Below are 19053 nucleotides of genomic sequence, written 5' to 3'. Positions count from 1 at the left end.
GGTAAAAATATAAATTTACTGTTATAATGTTGGTACAATATTTGTAAAACAGGAAGCATTAAATATATAAGTTGTGGAAACAATTTAGTAAAAATTTAGTAAAATATATATTAAATCTATTAAATATAAATATATACATTTACATTATATTAACTAATATACTACCACTGGCTAAGAATAAAGTCATCCAGTGTGTCTAAGTTACCATGCATTTATAACACATCAGTGAAAGGGCTTCAAATCTAAAAAATTAAAATTAAAAAGAAGATACTGGTGGTAAGTGAAATAAACGGAGAAATAAGACTTCTGAGTTGCATAATTAGAAGGTGTCAAATAACATGTTTTTATTCCCCAGAACCAGGTATTTATACTAAAAATAATACAATATATTTAGATCCTTTCCTTTCTAATTAAGGTTTCTTAAAAGGTATAATAACAATGAAAGTAATGAATGTTTAAGCTACTCTTTTTTGTAAACAAACTGTGAGAAGTTTGTTATTAAAATGTTATTAATATATAGGATTACCAGTTAAACCAAAATTAAGATAAAAACCAAGGTTCACAGGACTAATATTACAAAACAGCACTCATTTGTAACCACAGTTTATTTCCTTTTTATTATACCTAACATTATATAACTAGAAATTGTAACTAAAACCAATTTAAGATTTAAATCTTGCATATACATTAGCTGGTTGACAACGTGAACATTACAATTAGTAAATTTGAGGAGCTGTCTGCCCTCCTTGCTCATTCCCCTCCCCGTCTTTTCTTCAGCAGATGAAAATAGAAGGGAAGCAAGAAACCATTTCAAACTTGGAGGACAGGGTTTACATGGACTTTCAGACTCAAAAGTGACAACTCACGAAGGCTGTATTTTCTACTTTTTAAAGCTGAATGTGGCACTTTAAATAAGTAAATTATTTCTCGGTTTTATGATCATAATAAAGCTTTTAACTAAATTGAATTAAATCAGCATTCTATCCAAGAATGAAAGCTTGATCATTTAACCAGATTGAGGGCAGAAATTAACTATATCATAGACTAATAAACTTACTTAAATGAATATTGGGTTTCTACCACTGGCTTTAGTAATTTAAACAGTTGATTGGGCATCTTATTATTTAATGAGTTTACTATGTCAATCCCTGTATTATGAATTGAAATAATGAAGACTTTGACACAGTCTTCCCTCAAGAAGATTAAATTTACTTTATAAGTCAAATACTAAGAATTCTGCAAGATGTTAAAATGTTACTGTTTCTGATCTTCTAACTACTTAACATTCCCCCAAATAAGACTTATACTTTCATAACTGTCTGTCCCAAGTGACACTGTTCCAGTTGCCCAGAATATCTGTTTTTCCAATCCTTCTTCTAGCTTAAGGACACTCAAATGGAAATCCTCTGCCCCAATAGTGCAATTTATAGTTTCATTCTATACGCTCCTACAGAGCTGAATGGGCACCAATATAGCAGTATTTCTCTTTAAAAATCTGAAATAGCTTAAATATGCTTATGTACTTTTACATGTCAGCATCTTCATAATGGCTGCAACGCATAAATTTATCCAACAAGAGTTTGATAAATTCTAGGATTTGTATTTAAACATATGATCACAGTATTCATTAGTCCAATATCAGGAACAATTTACATTTTAAGAAAGGTAGACATATGCTAACAATATTTGCTTCTCTTCACTATGTTACTTTAATACACATACAGCCAATTCATAAAAACAACCCAAAATAGTTTAGGAAGATTACTTACTGAAAAATGCCAGCATGAAAATGCCATCATTCCCCACTCTGAGCTGGTCTGCATCACTGAAGTCATCTCTTGGTGGACACTCTTCCTCCTGAATCTGTAAATATGTAACATTGGAATAGCTCACTAAAAATTACAACTTTATCATCTTAAATGTAAGCATAAGAACTTCAGCAACATCTAATGTTCTCAATTTGTTGTATAGACAAATGCAATAATGAGTACAATGTCTGGCACAGAGTAATCAATAAGCATTAGCAACTAATATTTTTTCACAGTCACATTTGAAAAGAGTAACTTTAAAGATAAACACAAAAAAGATAAAAGATGAATAACATCAAACTCATAAAAATGGTATCAAGAAGATACATGTGACAGTGCTCCATTAGTAATGACTGGGAAATAAGAACTTTCATAACCAGTGGTGGAGTATAAATTGGTACAACTTATATTGTTGGCAATTTTGCAATAATTATCAAAAATAAAAATGTGCATACCCTATGATCCAGCAATTCCAGTTCTTAAAATACACTGCACATATATATATATGTATACACACACACACATATTCCCTCTTATAAAAATGATGTATTAAAGATAATTCATTCCAGCAATGTTAATAAGAGCAAAAGATTAGATACAATCTAAATGCCCATCAACAGCAGACTATGTTAGGAGACAATTCTCCCCAAGTCTATCATGTTTCTACATGTCTTCCAGGTAGAGGCATTGGTGGCCTTTTTTCTGGAAAAGCTGCCGGCATTCGATGCCAGTCCCTCAAGCAGCCACAGAGCTGTACACTGCAAAGCCTCAGGGGCAGAGCTACCCAAGGCCTGGGAAGCCCACCCCTTGTACCAGTAAGCCCTGGATGTGAGACGTGGAGTCAAAGATTATTCTGGCCAGGCGCTGTGGCTCACGCCTATAATCTCACACTTTGGAAGGCCAAGACAGGTGGATCACTTCAGGCCAGGAGTTCAAGACCTGCCTGGCCAGCATGGTGAAACCCTGCCTCTACTAAAAATACAAAAATTAGCCAGGTATGGTGGCACATGCCTGTAATCCCAGCTACTCAGGAGGCTGAGGCATGAGAATCGCTTGAACTCGGGAGGTAGCAGCTGCAGTGAGCCGAGATCACACCGCTGCACTCCAGTCTGGGCGACAGTGAGACCGTCTCAAAAAAATATTATCTTGGAACTTTAGGATTTAATGACTGTCAGGCTTGGTTTCGGTCTTCCATGGGGCTTGTATCCCCTTTTGTTGGCCAATTTCTCCCTTTTGGAACCAGCATATTTACCCAATGCCTATAGTGCCATTTTATCTTAGAAGTAATTAGCTTGTTTTTGATTTTACAGGCCCGTGGGTGGAAGGGACTTGCCTTGTCTCAGATGAGGCTTTGGATTGTTGACTCTTTGAGTTAATGCTGGAATAAGATTCTGGGGGACTCTTGGGAAGGCATGGTTGTATTTTGAAATGTGAGAAGGACATGAGATCTGGGAGAGGCCAGGGACAGAATTATATGGTTCGATCTGTGTCCCCATCCAAATCTCATATTCAACTGTAATCCTCAACTGTTGGAGATTGGGCCTGGTAGGAGGTGATCGGATCATGGGGGTGGTTTCTAATGGTTTCACATCATTTTCCTGGGCGCTGTTCTCATGAGAGTGAGTGAGTGCATTATTGTTTTTTCTGAGATCTGGTTGTTTAAAAGTGTGTGGCATCACCCCTTCACTCTCTCTCTTCCTCCTGCTCCAGCCATGTAAAATGGGCCTGCTTCCCCCTCACCTTCCGCCACAATCGTAAGTTTCCTGGGGCCTCCCCAGAAGCTGCTATGCTTCCTATACAGTCTGCAGAACTGTAAGTCAATTAAACCTCTTTTCTTTATAAATTCCCCAGTCTTGGGTATTTCTTTATAGCAGTGTGAAAATGGACTAATACGGTACACATCATCTCAGTTGAGTGTGAATAACTCAATTTTGTGAGGCCAAGTCTGAGAAGCTAGGGCTCTGCTCAATATCACATAATTAGGAGGGTCAAAGTGGAACTTGAATCCAGGACACTGATGTTGTTTCCACACAATCATGGTAGTCTCACTAAGCATACTGCTATCCTGAAATAAAAAAACTTTCAAAACCATTTTATATTGCTTATTATTCGGGCACAAAGATCCCTTAAATTGTGCAATCATATATCATAGGTAAACTCAATATACTAAATTTAATGACTGGCCATGACTAAGTGCATATTTATAAAATTTTAAATAATTTCAAATTAATTCAAGAAATAAACATTAAAGCACAGTAAGAACAAAAAATTGTCAGTGTGATGGCAAAAATATATTTCATACTGTGTATTTTAAAACATCAGTCCAGGCCAGGTACAGTGGCTCATGCCTGTAATCCCAGCACTTTGGGAGGCCGAGGTGGGTGGATCACTTGAAGTCAGGAGTTCAAGACTAGCCTGACCAACATGGCGAAACCCATCTCTACTAAAAATACAAAAACAAATTAACCAGATGTGGTGGCGTGCTCCTGTAGTCCCAGCTACTCAAGAGGCTAAGGCAGGAGAATCATTTGAACTGGGGAGGCGGAGGTTGCACTGAACTGAGATTGCACTACTGCATTCCAGCCTAGGAGACAGAGTGAGACTGCGCCTCAAAAACAAAACAACCACCACCAAAAAATCAATACAGAAATTTTATCAAAAGTCATCATTTAGGAAAAAAAAAAAAATTAAGACAAGATCTCACTCTCACCCAGGCTGGAGTGCAGTGGCACAATCATGGCTCACTGCAGTCTTCATCCGGGATCACTACAGCCTCAATCTCCTGGGCTCAAGTGATCTTCCCACTTCAGCCTTCCAAGTTGCTGGAACTACAGGTGCATGCCACCACACCTAGCTGATTTTTTTTTTTCTTTTTAGTGGAAATAAGGTCTCGCTGTGTTGCCCAGGCTGGTCTCAAACTCCTGAGCTCAAGCAACCTGCTTGCCTCAGCCTCCCAAAGTGCTGAGATTACAGGAGTGAGTCACTGCAATATGCCCAAAGATGTCTTTTATAATATTAATAGAAAAAATCGAAACACAAACATTTGAAAATAATTGTTCACTCTAGAGGAATGGCCACTAAGTTTCAATAGCATATTGATTACAGGGAATTTAACTATTAAGTAACAGGGAAATATTTATATAAGATGTTTAAAAAATAAAATGGTATCTAGGCAATAATTTCAACTACATTAAACATTAATTTGTGAATCCTGAAATTGGTAAAGACATCAAAATATTTTAAAATAGAGAGCTGTAACAGAACACCTGTGGTGTTTTCCTCTTTCTATTTTCCCACATTGGCTAACACAAAGAAAGCATTCATTAACTTAATCAACTGTCATTGACTAAACAACAAAAATGTGCCTGATAAATAACTAGGTACTGGGAATGTAAATGCAAGATCTCTGTCCTGGTGTTGCTCATGATTTATCTAGTCAAAAGACAAGTTACTGCAACAATTTAAAACAAGTTACAAAAAAAGAGCCCTACCCATTATAAGATGAAATGAGTCTACCTGAAGAACAAGCCATGTTCTAAACATCTTATAAAATTAATAGTTTGGAATTAGCATTTTTCATAGAAATATTAACAATGAGTTGTCATTTTCAGAAATCTACTTAACCATTCCATAACATACGTGCAATTCTACACATCAGAAATAGGAAATAGTAAAAACAGTAGTTTTAAAGTCTCTTGACTATCTATATTCTCCCAGTGAGAGTTGATTTAGGAAACAAGCTTTCAACTCACCCAGCTGAGACTCATTTACAACTGAATGTACTCAAATGCTAATTTGATGAGACTTTTTTTCAATTTTTAAATTTTGTTTGTAATTGACAAAAACTGTATATATTTATGATGTATTACATGATGTTTTAAAATGTGTATACATTGTGGAGTGGCTAAATTGAGCTAATTACCATGTACAGTACCTCAAATATTTTTTTTGTGCAAGAACGCTTAAAATCTACTCTCCTAGCAATTTTCAAGCATTGACCAATTTTTCATCTCAATCAGGTAATGGAGACTCATATGCAAACATTCATACTCTGCACAAAGAGGGTGCTGAAGCACCGGGTTAGGAAGCACTGGTAAATTTATAAGATTTTTTACAAGACCTAAGTTAGTCTCTTGTACACAATTCTATTAATACTTTGCTGTCTATGAAATTTTCCACAATGCTCACAAGCTGGGGTTACAATGATATCAGAAGCAGGTAAAAACAGGGAGCTTTTCTTTATGGACATGTTCCAATTCTGGCTGAGGATTACATTTACTTTCTAAAACAGGGTGCTGGAAATGATGACAATGAGGGAATGGAACAGTAATACTTCAGACTTTTCTCTTCAAAAGGGGTAAAATCAACTTTTCTCAAAGCACACTTACCAAGACTTAATGCTTCCTACCTTGTCTTTAGAATTCTATCCTATTGTATGGAAGTTAGGGCAGTAAATGATCTACGGTCCATAATACTTCTTAAGGTCTCTGGGCAAACACCCCCTGAGAAAAGGAGTTATTGGGACTTTCATAGCTAGAGAGGAATCAATCTACTTCACTGAGAGATGTGCATGTTCATTTACAAATATATGTGTTCTAAGTAACCGAGAACTTATTTAGACAAAAATACCCTATTTAGATCTATCCTCCTCCTCTGTGATGTTCCCCTCAAAGCAACAAAAATTCTTATTGACTCAGCTATATTATGCCACTGTGTTAAGAGACTTACTTTCCTCCTCTGTGAAGGAAAAGGCATAAAAAATAAATTCGGAGTTTACTGTCTTTATCTACCTTCATAACTGTGTCCAAAGCTATTTATGTTGACGTTTAACCCTGTGTGTGCTGGAAGAGGGTAGTAGGAGCAGGCATAAATAGGGTTATTGCTGATCAAAGAAACACATTCAGGGCACATGCTCTTCTCTCAGAGGATCTGCTTGCTGGGCTCTGACCTCATAGCAGCTAGAGGAGAATGCCATACATGGAAGCACATCTCTCTCCCTTGACTCCTCACCTAATTCTAGCTTTCCTGGGTGAATTGATTTTTTTGTCTTTTTCCCGAACAAAATGGGGTGAATCCAGGGATCTGAAACGGCATCTCTCAAGTCTGAAGCAAGAAAAAAAAGGCAAAAAATTCTAGCCCTCCTTGCAGCCACACTAAAATGTAAATAATTTCTGCCTCTTACCTGGCTGCAGAATAGTAGATGTGTATGTATCTCACTGACTCTCCATTACTGAGACAGCCACTCCATTTACCAGAGCAAAGAGTAATACACATGTATCTCATTAACTCCATTACTAAAACATGTAGATGAGGAAGACAGAATGCTTGATCATCATTCCAAAATTCTAGAGTAGAATGTTATCAAAAAAAAAAAAAAAAAAAAAAACAGCTGACAAAAATAATTTGAAGGCCTTGTAACATTTCTCTGTGTTTTTTGGCTACCTTGAGTTCTTTCACAGTCACTAAACTGGCTATGCTAATATAGAAACATAAATAGAAAAAAAGATGATTCACAATTAAAATGATAGGCCATGGAATTCAAACTATGTAAGAAGATAAATAAGTACATGGACAGCAAAGAGGTCAGTGGACTTGAGGTCCAGGCAAAGAGAAGAACTTTCCAAGTGGTGGTAACCAGAGTGAGTGAGTTAGGATGCGAAGTGAAGGCTAACACATGAGGGGCCTGAAATCAAAATTTAGGAAGGGATAAGCGGGGAAGAGCAATAGAAAAGAGGAAGTCAAGGGATAAAGAAGGTGAATTTAACTAGGAGAATGCCAATTTCAACAAAAAGTGACCACACACATAAGCAACAGTAGAACAAATACAGTAACCCTTCAACAATACACGGGTTAGGGACACCGACCCACCTGCATGCGGTAGAAAATTTGAGTATAACTCTGACTTCCCCAAAACTTAACGACTCACAGCCTATTGTTAACTAGAAGCCTTACTGATAACATAAACAGTCGATAATACATAAACTACTATTTACATGTATTTTATACATTCATTACAGGCCTTTTCTTAATTTTTTTGATATTTCTAGGCTATGCAATTTGTCCCAAGTTTTTTCAAATTGCTGCAGATCTCCAAAATATTTTTCCAATATATTTATTTAAAACAATCTGCATACAAGTAGACCTGTGCAGTTTAAACCCATAATGCTCAAAAAAAATCTACATACACACTTACACACAAAGAACTGTTTTTAGTATTACTAAATGTATATATCAATTAACGAAAATAATTTTATCAAAAGAAATGATGAAATTTTCTTACTCTTTGAGATGTTTCTGCTGCTGCAGCTGCCATTGCAGCAGCTTTAGCCTTCTCAGCTTCATCGTATGTAGGAAGAGAGGTAGCAACGCTATAGGGAGGTGGCACGGGATAAAACTCACCGTAAACTTCTGTATCTGAAGAAAGAATTCAAAAAGAATAACCAATAAAATCTATTTAATTTTGTAGCCATAGCCATGACTTAATAATTTACAACTGGCCACCAATACAGGACTACTATTGCTATTATAGGCCTATGTTATAAGCTATAAAATATATAAATTACTATTACAATCATATATCTTACTTTAGTCCAAATTTATTATAAAGAGAAAGAATGGATAAATACCGTTTAAAGGCTAATACACTAAACAAGAACCTCTAGAATGAAATTCTGAAAAAGAGTGCCAGACAAGAGAAGTAAGAATCTCATAATATATGAGTATTCTCTATGTGCTTATTAGTATGCACAAAGAACTTAGTTTACTTGCCCACTATCTCACAGCCAAAAAAGCAAAAAGAAAAAGTAATAATAACAAACATTTACATAATACTAACCATTTCATATACCACTTCTGTATACATTGATCTTAGCATCTCTGAGGTTCAGGAAAGTTAAGTTACTTGCACAATATTAAACATTTAAGTGGCAGACACAGGAAGCTCCTGACCCCAAATACTTTGCTCCGATAACATACAAGGGGTAATTTTTTTACACATCTTGATTTCAGCAACGGCTCTAATCTCTTAAGCAAATTCAGTATTTCCCTTTGCTAAAAGATTGAAGTTTTACTTTTCCACTCTTGTCCCTTTCTCTTCCCATTTTTCCTTTATCCAGCTAGTTCTTTAGATTTCCTTTTATAAGTATTTCTCACCCCAATTTTTGAAATATAATCTCCAGAAATACATTACAATAGAAAATACAGACTGCTTATTTTAAAAATAAAACCCATCACTTATTACAACATAAGTAATAAAGTAAAGTGCTATACAGGTCAATCAACTCATTAGACTTATGCTAGAGTCACTGACACACACACAAAAAAGGGAGGTTCTAAAAGTAGCATACACCACACTGTTTGACATCACTTTTGTATTTTCCTCCATTATAACAACAGTAGTTTTATATAAGCATACCTGGTTTTATACACTTTGCTTTTGTGCATTTTGCAAATACTGTGTTTCTTACAAACTGAAGGTTTGCGGCGGCAATTCCACATTGAACAAGTGTATCAGCACCATTTTTCCAAGAGCATGTGCTCACTCTGTGTCTCTGTCCCAGTACTTCTAGCAATATTTCAAATGTTTCCAGTGCCACTATTGTATCTTTTATGGTGATCTGTGATTAGCGATCTTTGATGTCACTATTGTAATTGTTTTGGGGCACCACAAACTGTGCCCATAGAACACAGGAAACCTAATTGATAAACACTGTACGTGTTTTGTCACACGTCTCTCACTCTAATTCAAAAGCTAGAAACAATCAAGCCTAGCAAGGACAGCATGGCAAAAGCCAAGATACACCGAAAGCCAGACCTCTTGCTCCAAACAGCCAAGTTATGAATGCAAAGGAAAAGTTCCTGAAGGCAATTAAAAGTGCTACTACAGTGAACACATGAGTAATAAGAAAGGGAAACTACTTTATTGCTGATATGGAGTAAATTCTAGTTCCAGTTAGAAGATCAAACCAGCCACAACATTCCTATATGCCAAAGCCTGGTTCAGAGCAAGGTGCTGACTCTCTTCAATTCTATGAAGACTGAGAGAAGTGAGGAAGGTAAAGAAGAAAAGTTGGCAGCTGGCAGAGGTTGGTTTATAAGGCTAAATCAAAGAAGCCATCTTCATAAAAGTGCAACATGAAGCAGCGAGTGCTGACGTAGAAGCTGCAGCAAATTATGCAGAAGATCTAGCTAAGATCATTGATGATGGTGGCTATGCTAAACAACAGATTTTCAATGTAGATGACACAGCTTTCTACTGGAAGATGCCTTCTAGGACTTTCATAGCTAGAGAGGAGTCAATTCCTGGTTTCAAAGCTTCAAAGGACAGGCTGACTCTCTTATAAGGATTTAATTCAGCTGGGAACTTTAAGTTGAAGCCAATGCTCATTTACCATTCTGAAGATCATAGAGCCCTTAAGAATTATGCTCAGTCTACTCTGCTCCATAAATGGAACAACAAAGCCTAATGACAGCACACCTGTTTATAGCATGGTTTACTGAATGTTTTAAGTCCACTGTTGAAAGCTCAGGAGAAAAAGATCTTTCAAAATATTACTGCTCACTGACAATGCACCTGGTCACTCAAGACCTCTGAAGGAGATGTACAAGAAGATTAATGGTGTTTTCATGCCTACTAAGACAACATCCATTTTGCAGCCCATGGATCAAGGGGTCATTCTGACTTTCAAGTCTTATGATTTTAGAGCTATATTTCATAAGACGATTGCTGCCACAGATAGTGATTTCTCTGATGGATCTGGACAAAGTAAACTGAAAAGCTTCTGGAAAGGATTCACTATTCTAGATGGCATTAAAAACATTCAGGATCATGGGAGAAGGTCAAAATATGAACATTAACAGGAGTTGGAAGTTGATTCCAACCCTCATAGATGACTGAGGGGTTTAAGACTTCAGTGGAGAAAGTAATTGCAGACGTGGGAGAAACAGCAAGAGAAGTAGAATCAGAAGTGAGGCCTGAAAATGTGACTGAATTGCTGCAATCTCATGGTAAAACTTAAATGAATGAACAGTTGCTTCTTATGGATGAGCAAAGAAAGTGATTTCTTGAGATGGGAGATACTCTTGGTGAAGATGCTGTGAACATCGTTGAAATGACAAAAAAGGACTTAGATTACATAAGTTTAACTGACAAAGCAGTGGCAGGGATTGAGAGAATTGACTCCAGTTTTGGAAGAAGTCCTAGTGTGGGTAAAATGCCATAAACAGCACTGCATGCTACAGACAATTCTTTTGTAAAACAAAGAGTCAATTGATGTAGCAAACTTCATTGCTGTCTTATTTTAACAAATTGCCACAGCTGGAGCTGGGCACAGCAGCTGGCACCTGTAATCCCAGCTACTCGGGAAGCTGAGGCTAAAGGATCACTTGAGGCCAGGAGTTTGAGACCTGCCTGGGCAACATGGGGAGACTCCATCTTTAAAAATACTAATTTTTTTTTTAAATAGCTGTCCCTGTAGTACCAGCTACTCAGGAGGCTGAGGCAGGAGCGTTGCTTGAGCCCAGGAATCCAAGACTACAGTGAGCTATGAAAGCGCCACTGAATTCTGTCTCTAAAAAAAAAGAAAAGAAATTGCCATAGCCACCCCAATATTCAGCAACCACCACCCTGATCAGTCAGTAGCCATCAACACTGAGGCAAGATCTTCCACCAGGAAAAAGATTATGACTCACTGAAGCTCTGATGATCATTAGTATCTTTTAGCAGTAAAGTTTTAAATTAAGATATGTACATTTTTTAAACATAATGCTACTGCACCCTTAAGAGTATAGCGTAAACATAACTTTTGTATGCACTGGGAAACCAAAAAATTCATATGACTCTTTTCACTGAGATATTCGCTTTACTTCAGTAGTCTGAAAATGAACCAGCAATATTTCTGAAGTATGCGTTTATTTTTTTACATTTGTTTACAATTTTGTCTAACAGAATTTCTTGCATTTTCAACCTAAAAATACATTTTACTCTAGCAATACTTCTACTGTATTTTCATGCATATAGGTCTTAAAACAATTTTTAGTGCTATCAATAAGAGCTAAGGACCTGAAGTTAGGTCATTTTTAATCTAATCACATGGAATTGGTACTAGCAGTATAATACTGAATGTTACCAAACACAAGAGACAAGAGTCAAATTCTTAGAAAAGATTTATTATCAGGATGTAAAAACGTAAGTGGTCAAGTAAACAGATTTCTTTAGTTTTAAAAGAGTAGAAGCAAAATCTAAGTAAAAACAATGTTTACAAATTTTAAGGCAGTAACATTAAAACTGTAAATTTTAAAAACTGGAACAATGGCACACATTATCCAAGGAGATGTGATCTTTTATAATAACAAGAATGTAAATTTCTGAAAGGTTTTAATACTCAAGATAGAAAAAAAAAATCCCTACCACTAATACATGAAAGTTGGGTAGGAAAACTCAATTGCTACAGCTTTAATTTTCACTTTTAAATTTTACTTATTTTTATCTACCCTTTTAAAAGAGTGGTTCTCAACCAGAGGATTTAAAGTCTGGCAAGCTCCAGCTCCAAATCCTCCTCTTAGAAGTTGTGTGACCTCAAGCTAATCACTTAAACACTATGAAGCTCCACTTTCTCATCCATAAAACTGACACAGCAGGGCTGTTACTTGCTATTATGGGATAAAATAGAAGAGTATTCAAGAGGACTCTGTAAACTGTGAAGCATTACACAAATGTCACGTATTATTATTTATGTTACTCAGATCTATAAAAACTAGCCAAAAAGTGACCTAATGGAGAATATAATCTCTGCAAAATCTAGCAGAGCTCATGTTTAAAATACAGTCATGCATCACTTACTAACACAGATATGTTCTGAGACATGTGTTAAGCAATTTAGTTTTTGTGGAACATCATAGAGTGTACTTATATAAACCTAGAGTGTAGAGCCTACTACATAACTAGGCTATATGGTATATAGCCTATTGCTCACCGACTACAAACCTGTATAGCATATTACTGTACTGAATACTCTAGGCAACTGCAACACAATGTTAAGTATCTGTGTTATATAAATACATCTAAACATAGAAAAAGTACAGTAAAAATATGTTCTAAAATATTATAAAGTGGCCGACCTGGATAGGGCACCTACAATGAACAGAGCTTAGAAGACTGGAAGTTGCTCTGGGTGAGTCAGTGAGTGAGTGACGAGTGAACGTGAAGGCCTAGGACATTACTGTACACTACCGTAGACTTTATAAACACTGTACACCTAGGCTACCCTAGATTTATTTTAAAATATTTTTCTTCCTTCAATAATAAATCTCAGCTTTCTGTATTTTTACTTTATATACTTTTAAATTTAACTTTGTGACTCTTTTATAAGAACACAGCTTAAAACACAAACACATTGTACAGTGTACAAAAATATTTTCTTTTTTATATCCTTATTCCACAATCTTTTTTCTATTTTTTAAATTTTTTAAACTTTTTTTTGTGTGACAAGGTCTCACTCAGTCACCCAGGCTGGAGTGCAGTGGCACATAGCTCACTTCAGCCTCAACTTCCCAGTCTCAATCAATTGTCTCACCTCAGACTCCCAAGCAGCTGGGACTACGGGTGTGCATTGCCACACCCAGCTAATTTTTGTATTTTTTGTTGATGAGGGTTTCGCCAAGTTGCCCAGGCTGGTCTCAAACTCCTAGGCTGTGATCCTCCCACCTCAGCCACCCAAAGTACTGGAATTATAGGCATGTGCCACCGTGCATAGCTAGCTTTTTTATTAAAAACTGCAACACAAACACGCACACTAGCTTAGGCCTACAAAGGGTCAGGATCGTCAATATCATTGTCTTCCACCTCCACATTTGTCCCACTGGAAGGTCGTCAAGGGCAATAACACACATGGAGCTGTCATCTCCTATGATAACAAATGCCTTCTGGAATACCTCCTGAAAAGATCTGCCTGAGGCTGTTTTACAGTTAATTTGTTTTTTATAAGTAGAAAGAATACACTCTAAAATAATAATTAAGATTAATAAATATACAAATCAGTAATATAGTCATTACCATTATCAAGTATTATATACTGTACATAATTGTATGTGTTAGACTTGTACACAACCGACAGAGTATTGGATATGTTTACACCAACACTGCCACAAACACCGAGTAGTGCAACCTTACGACAGCTACCATGTCACTAGATGACAGAAATTTTTCAGCACCATTGTATACACATGCAGTCTGTTGCTGGCCAAAATGTTGTTATGCAGCATATGACCATCTTTAAAGAAAGTGAAAACAACCCAATTACTATACCATCCAGACTAAGTGATTATTTTTAACATATTTTGGAATTTCCTTTACGTGGAAATGTTCATCTATTTCTTAAATAATGGGGATCACATCATATATGTCATTTTATATTCTACTTTTTAAATTTGCTATTTCAAAGTGTGTGATATCAGTAAACAGCCTTCAAAAAACCTAATTTTAATGTTTATGCAATATTTAAAAATACTATCATTTGAAAATGTATTTAATGATTCCCCTATTTTGAGCATGTGTGATGCTTCCATTTGTTAGTTATTAAAGTCACTTGCTGTCTTTGCTTCCTCTCTACCTGTGCTCTTTTTAACCCATTATATGCTAGGTTTCTATTTGTAACACTCCAAAGAAACCATTATGGCAAAAGTCACCAGTGATCTTCAAATAGCCAAAATCACAGGACACCGCAATTATAAAACATGACTGTGGACTTTAGAATTAGATACATCTGAGTTCGAATTCTGTCTTTACCACTGAGAAGCTATGTGAACACAGGCAAGTTATTTAATTCTCCATGATTGTTTTCTCCTCTGTAAAATGAACCTCATTTTTACAGATGTGATTTACTCAGGATGGCTGGAAAATCAGATGAGCTATATACCTAAGAACTTGGGAGAAAGGGCAGGTATGCAGTAAGCACACAGTAAGTGCTAGGTATAATCTTTTTAAATTCTTGACCAGCCACTTCTTTTTAAAATTCTCTCCTCTCTTGGCTTCTAGAATATTCTTTTCAGAGTCCTCTCCTACCTGCCTAATAGTTCTTCTTTACTTGTGTTGCTAGTCTTCAAGGTTCTTGTGTTACCCTTTATCTAACTTCATTCTCCTGAAAGTCCTTGGATGACTCTATCCTAGTGTTTCTCATAACTCTCCAGCTTCTCTTTTGTTGACCTGCTAACATTCCCCTACTCACTGTTAAATGTTGTAGTTCCTCAGCATAGACAACTTCTTCCTCCTCTCTACTCTCTTCCTTGCTATTTCATTCATGGATTAAGAATTCAACTACCAACTATACACAGTTGATTTACAACATTTATTTCTAGCCCAAACCTCTCCTCTGAATTTCAGGCTTATTTGATGTGGGTCTATTTGTTATCACTTGACTGCCTATTTGATATATCCTCTTTAGTTCTCAAAGGCACCTAAAATTCAACATGGCCAAAAAATAACATTTTGATCTTCATTCCAAACCTGTTCCTTTTCAGTAATACTTGGGCATCATTCTTAACCCCTTCTCCCTCATCCTTATCCAATCTGTCACCAAGGCATTGATTTTTACTTCCCACATATTGCTTGAATCCACATACTCTTCACCACCAGCACCTTAGTCATACTACCAGCATCTCCTGTCTGAAGTTTTAGCAGCTCCACCTCTTCTCTCCATCTGCTAAGAGCATAAGTTATAGATCTCACTAATATTGCTAAAACTTCAAAATATTCACAAATCTAAATCCAGAAGAGATTAGAACATGGCATGAAAAGTGTGTATTTCAGAACATGGAGATGGCCTAGCTTAAAGACATATAATAACATATTTCATTTCATCAAAAATTAAAAGAGAAAAACCATATACAATAGTTCTGCCTTATGCACGGTTTTGCTTTCCACAGTTTCAGTGACCCCAAGGTCGACTGCAATCTAGAAATATTCAATAGAAAACTGCAGAAATAAACAACTCATAAGTTTTAAATTGTGCATTGTTCTGAATATCATGATAAAATCTCACACCAACCCACTGTGTCCTGGCCAGGATGTGAATCATCCCTTTGTCCAGTGTATACACGCTGTCAACACTACCCACCCGTCAGTCATTTAGCAACTCTAGGTTATCAAATCTACAACTGAAGTATTGCAGTACTTGCATTCAAGTAACTCTATTTTACTTAATAATGGCTCCAAAACACAAGAGTAGAGATGCTGGCAATTCAGATATGCCAAAGAGAGCCATAAAGCGCTACCTGTAAGTGAAAAAGTGAAAGTTCTTGCCTTAATAAAGAAAAAAAACGTAGGCTGAGGTTGCTAAGATCTACAGTAAAAACGAATCTTCTATCTGTGAAATTGTGAAGGAAAAAGAAATTTGTGCTAGTTCTGCTGTCACATCTCAAACTGCAAAAGTTTTGGCCACAGTGTGTGATAAGTGCTTAGTTAAGATGGAAGAGGAAGTAAATTTATAGGTGAAGGACAAAAGCAGAAACATGTTCCGACTGATGGCAATGTGTTGCACCAGAAGGCACTGAGCCTATACAAAGATTTCAGCAAGGAATCTCCTGAAACCAGAGACACTGAGCCATTTACTGCAAATAAAGAAAGGTCACACAGATTGAGGATTAGGTTTGGACTAAAAAATATAAAATTACTGGAGAGTCTGTGTCTGCTAATGAAGAAGCTGCTGTCACATTTCCGGCAGAGTTGAAGAAGCTGATTAAGGAGAAAGGATACCATCCAAACAAGCTTTCAATTGTGATGAAACTGGGCTCTTCTGGGAGAAGATGCCTGAAAGAACTGACATTTATCAAAGTACAAAGGAGGCATCAAGGCATAAAACATGGAAGGACAGATTAACTCAGGTACCGTGTGGTGACACTGCAGGGCATATGACAGAGCCAAGCATAGTGTACAAAGTGAAGAATCCATGTGCCCTCAAAGAAAAAATGAAAAATTATCTGCCCAAATTCTGGCAACATAATTAGAAAGTATGGGTGACAGCTATCTTGTTTATGGAATGGTTCCACCAATGCTTCATCTCCCAAGTGAAAAACTACTTGGAAGAAAACAGTTGAAATTTAAAGTCCTATTAATAATAGACAATGCAGCTGACCATCCTGAATCTGTTTGCTATGAAAATGAAAATGTCAAGGTTTTACTTTGACCTGCAAATATAACCTCATTGCTTCAGTCCCTTGACCAGTGCATCATCTGGTCAGTCAAGGCCACATACACTTGCCTAGTATTTAATCACATTTGATCAGCAATCGATGCAGCCCCTAACATGACATAATACAGTGCTGGAAATCACTATTGCTGATGCAGTAACATTCATCAAAGCTGCAACTGATGAATTAAAACCAGAAACTGTAGATGTCTCCCTGAAGAATGTTTGGAGTAAAGTTATGAATGATTTTAAAGGCTTCTTGGGGATCAGCAGAGAAGCCAGGAAAATCACACAGCAAGACAAGTTGGTGGAGAAGGATTTGCCAATATGCTTGATGAAGAAGTAGAAGGGCATACTGATGGCCATCAAGAAGTGTTAATAATGAGGATATGGAAGAATTAGAGTCATCTACAGAGGAAGAGGAAGATGAAGAAGAAAATGAAGCAGAATCAGTAACGTGGCCATTACCAAAATCTGCTGAAGTGTTTCAAATGGCACGGACATTAAATGTCAAAATTATAGAATATGATCCTTAATGGGGCACAGTATCAAAGTCACCCATATGATCACTGAAGCACTACAACCTCTGCAGCAATACTTCAATGAGTTAATAAAAAAGAGACAACAACTTCCAGTTACAATGTTCTTCCAAAAGGTTTCAGCAAAATAACCTCCAACTATCAAGGATCCATACTCATCGACATCGTGATGGTTTTGCAGTCCAGGATCACCTGAAGTAGACAATCCCCCTTCTGACATATCATCAGAAGATCAATAGTAGCCTTAACACTACATCACAATGCCTATGTCATTCACCTCACTTCATCTCATCATATAAGCATTTTATCATCTCATATCATCACATGAAGAAGAGTGGGTATTCCAAGAGAAAGAGGGACTACATTCACATAACTTTTATTACAGTATTGCCATAACTGTTCTAGTTTATTATTAGTTGTTGTTAATCTCTTACTGTGCCTAATTTATGCATTAAACTTTATCATAAGTATGTATATATTAAAAAAACACAGTATGGGCTGGGCGCAGTGGCTCATGCCTGTAATCCCGGCACTTTGGGAGGCCGAGGTGGGCAGATCACCCTAGGTCAGGAGTTCGAGACCAGCCTGACCAACATGGTGAAATGCCATCTCTACTAAAAATACAAAATTCGCCAGGTGTGGTGGCACATGCCTGTAATCCCAGCTACTTGGGAGGCTGAGGCAGGAGAATCGCTTGAACCCAGGAGGTGAAGGTTGCAGTGAGCCAAGATCACGCCATTGCACTCCAGCCTGGGCAACAAGAATGAAACTCCATCTTAAAAAAACAAAAACAAAAACAAACAAACAACAGTATGTATAGAAAAAACACAGTATTTATAGGGTTCAGTGCTAGCTGTAGCTCTAGGCATCCACTGGTGTTCTGGGAACACATCTCCCTTGGATAAGGGGGCTTGCTGTAATTTTAAAATCAGGTACCAAAAGAAGACTCCAAGGTTTCTGGCCTACTGAAGCCATTTATTGAAATAGGAGAGACTGTAGAAGGAGAAGGTTTGGTGCTACGGGGAAGGGTAAGTATGCAGTTGTGAGAGTTTTAAAAGTTAGTCTTCAAGTTCTTTAAAACTCCTCTCATCAAGAAGTAGAGATGAATTCCTCTCCTCTTGAATAAGGACTAAACTTAGTGACTCATTTCTAACAACAAAATATGGCATAAGGGATACCATGTGACATTTGAGACAGTATCATAACAGGTGATAGAGCTTCCATCTGACTTTCTCTCAGAATGCTTGTTCTTGGAACCCAGCCACCATCTACTGAGGAAGTGTAAGCCACAATAAGAAGCCACATATAACTGTCTTGGCCAGTAGCCCCAGCTGTGGTCCTAGCTGAAGCCAGTATAAACCACCAAACTTGTGAAAAAAGAAGCTTTTGAGATAATTCCAACCCCAGCCACCATCAGACAACAGTCACATAAGACTCTAGGAGAGAAGAGCATAGTTCAGTCCAGTCCACTCCCAGAACAGTAAGAATTAACAGTAATAAATGATTGATATTTTACTCTATTAT

General features: G+C 36.9%; 1 protein-coding gene across 3 annotated transcripts in view; it reads right to left on the bottom strand.

Annotated features, from left to right (window-relative positions):
- NDFIP2 (Nedd4 family interacting protein 2) overlaps positions 1-19053 on the bottom strand; it is a 74923-nt gene that overhangs the window by 14533 nt on the left and 41337 nt on the right. For all 3 annotated transcript variants that reach the window (NM_019080.3, NM_001161407.2, NM_001394685.1), the window contains exons 3-4: positions 8089-8222; positions 1770-1863 (exon numbers count right to left, since the gene is read on the bottom strand). In NM_019080.3, coding sequence (NP_061953.2) covers positions 1770-1863; positions 8089-8222 — 228 coding nt within the window. The remainder of the gene's footprint in view (positions 1-1769; positions 1864-8088; positions 8223-19053) is intronic.

The sequence above is a fragment of the Homo sapiens genome, chromosome 13 (genome assembly GCF_000001405.40).
Source record: "Homo sapiens chromosome 13, GRCh38.p14 Primary Assembly".
Classification (NCBI taxonomy): Eukaryota; Metazoa; Chordata; class Mammalia; order Primates; family Hominidae; genus Homo; species Homo sapiens.
This window is presented reverse-complemented; position numbering and strand designations above follow the sequence as displayed.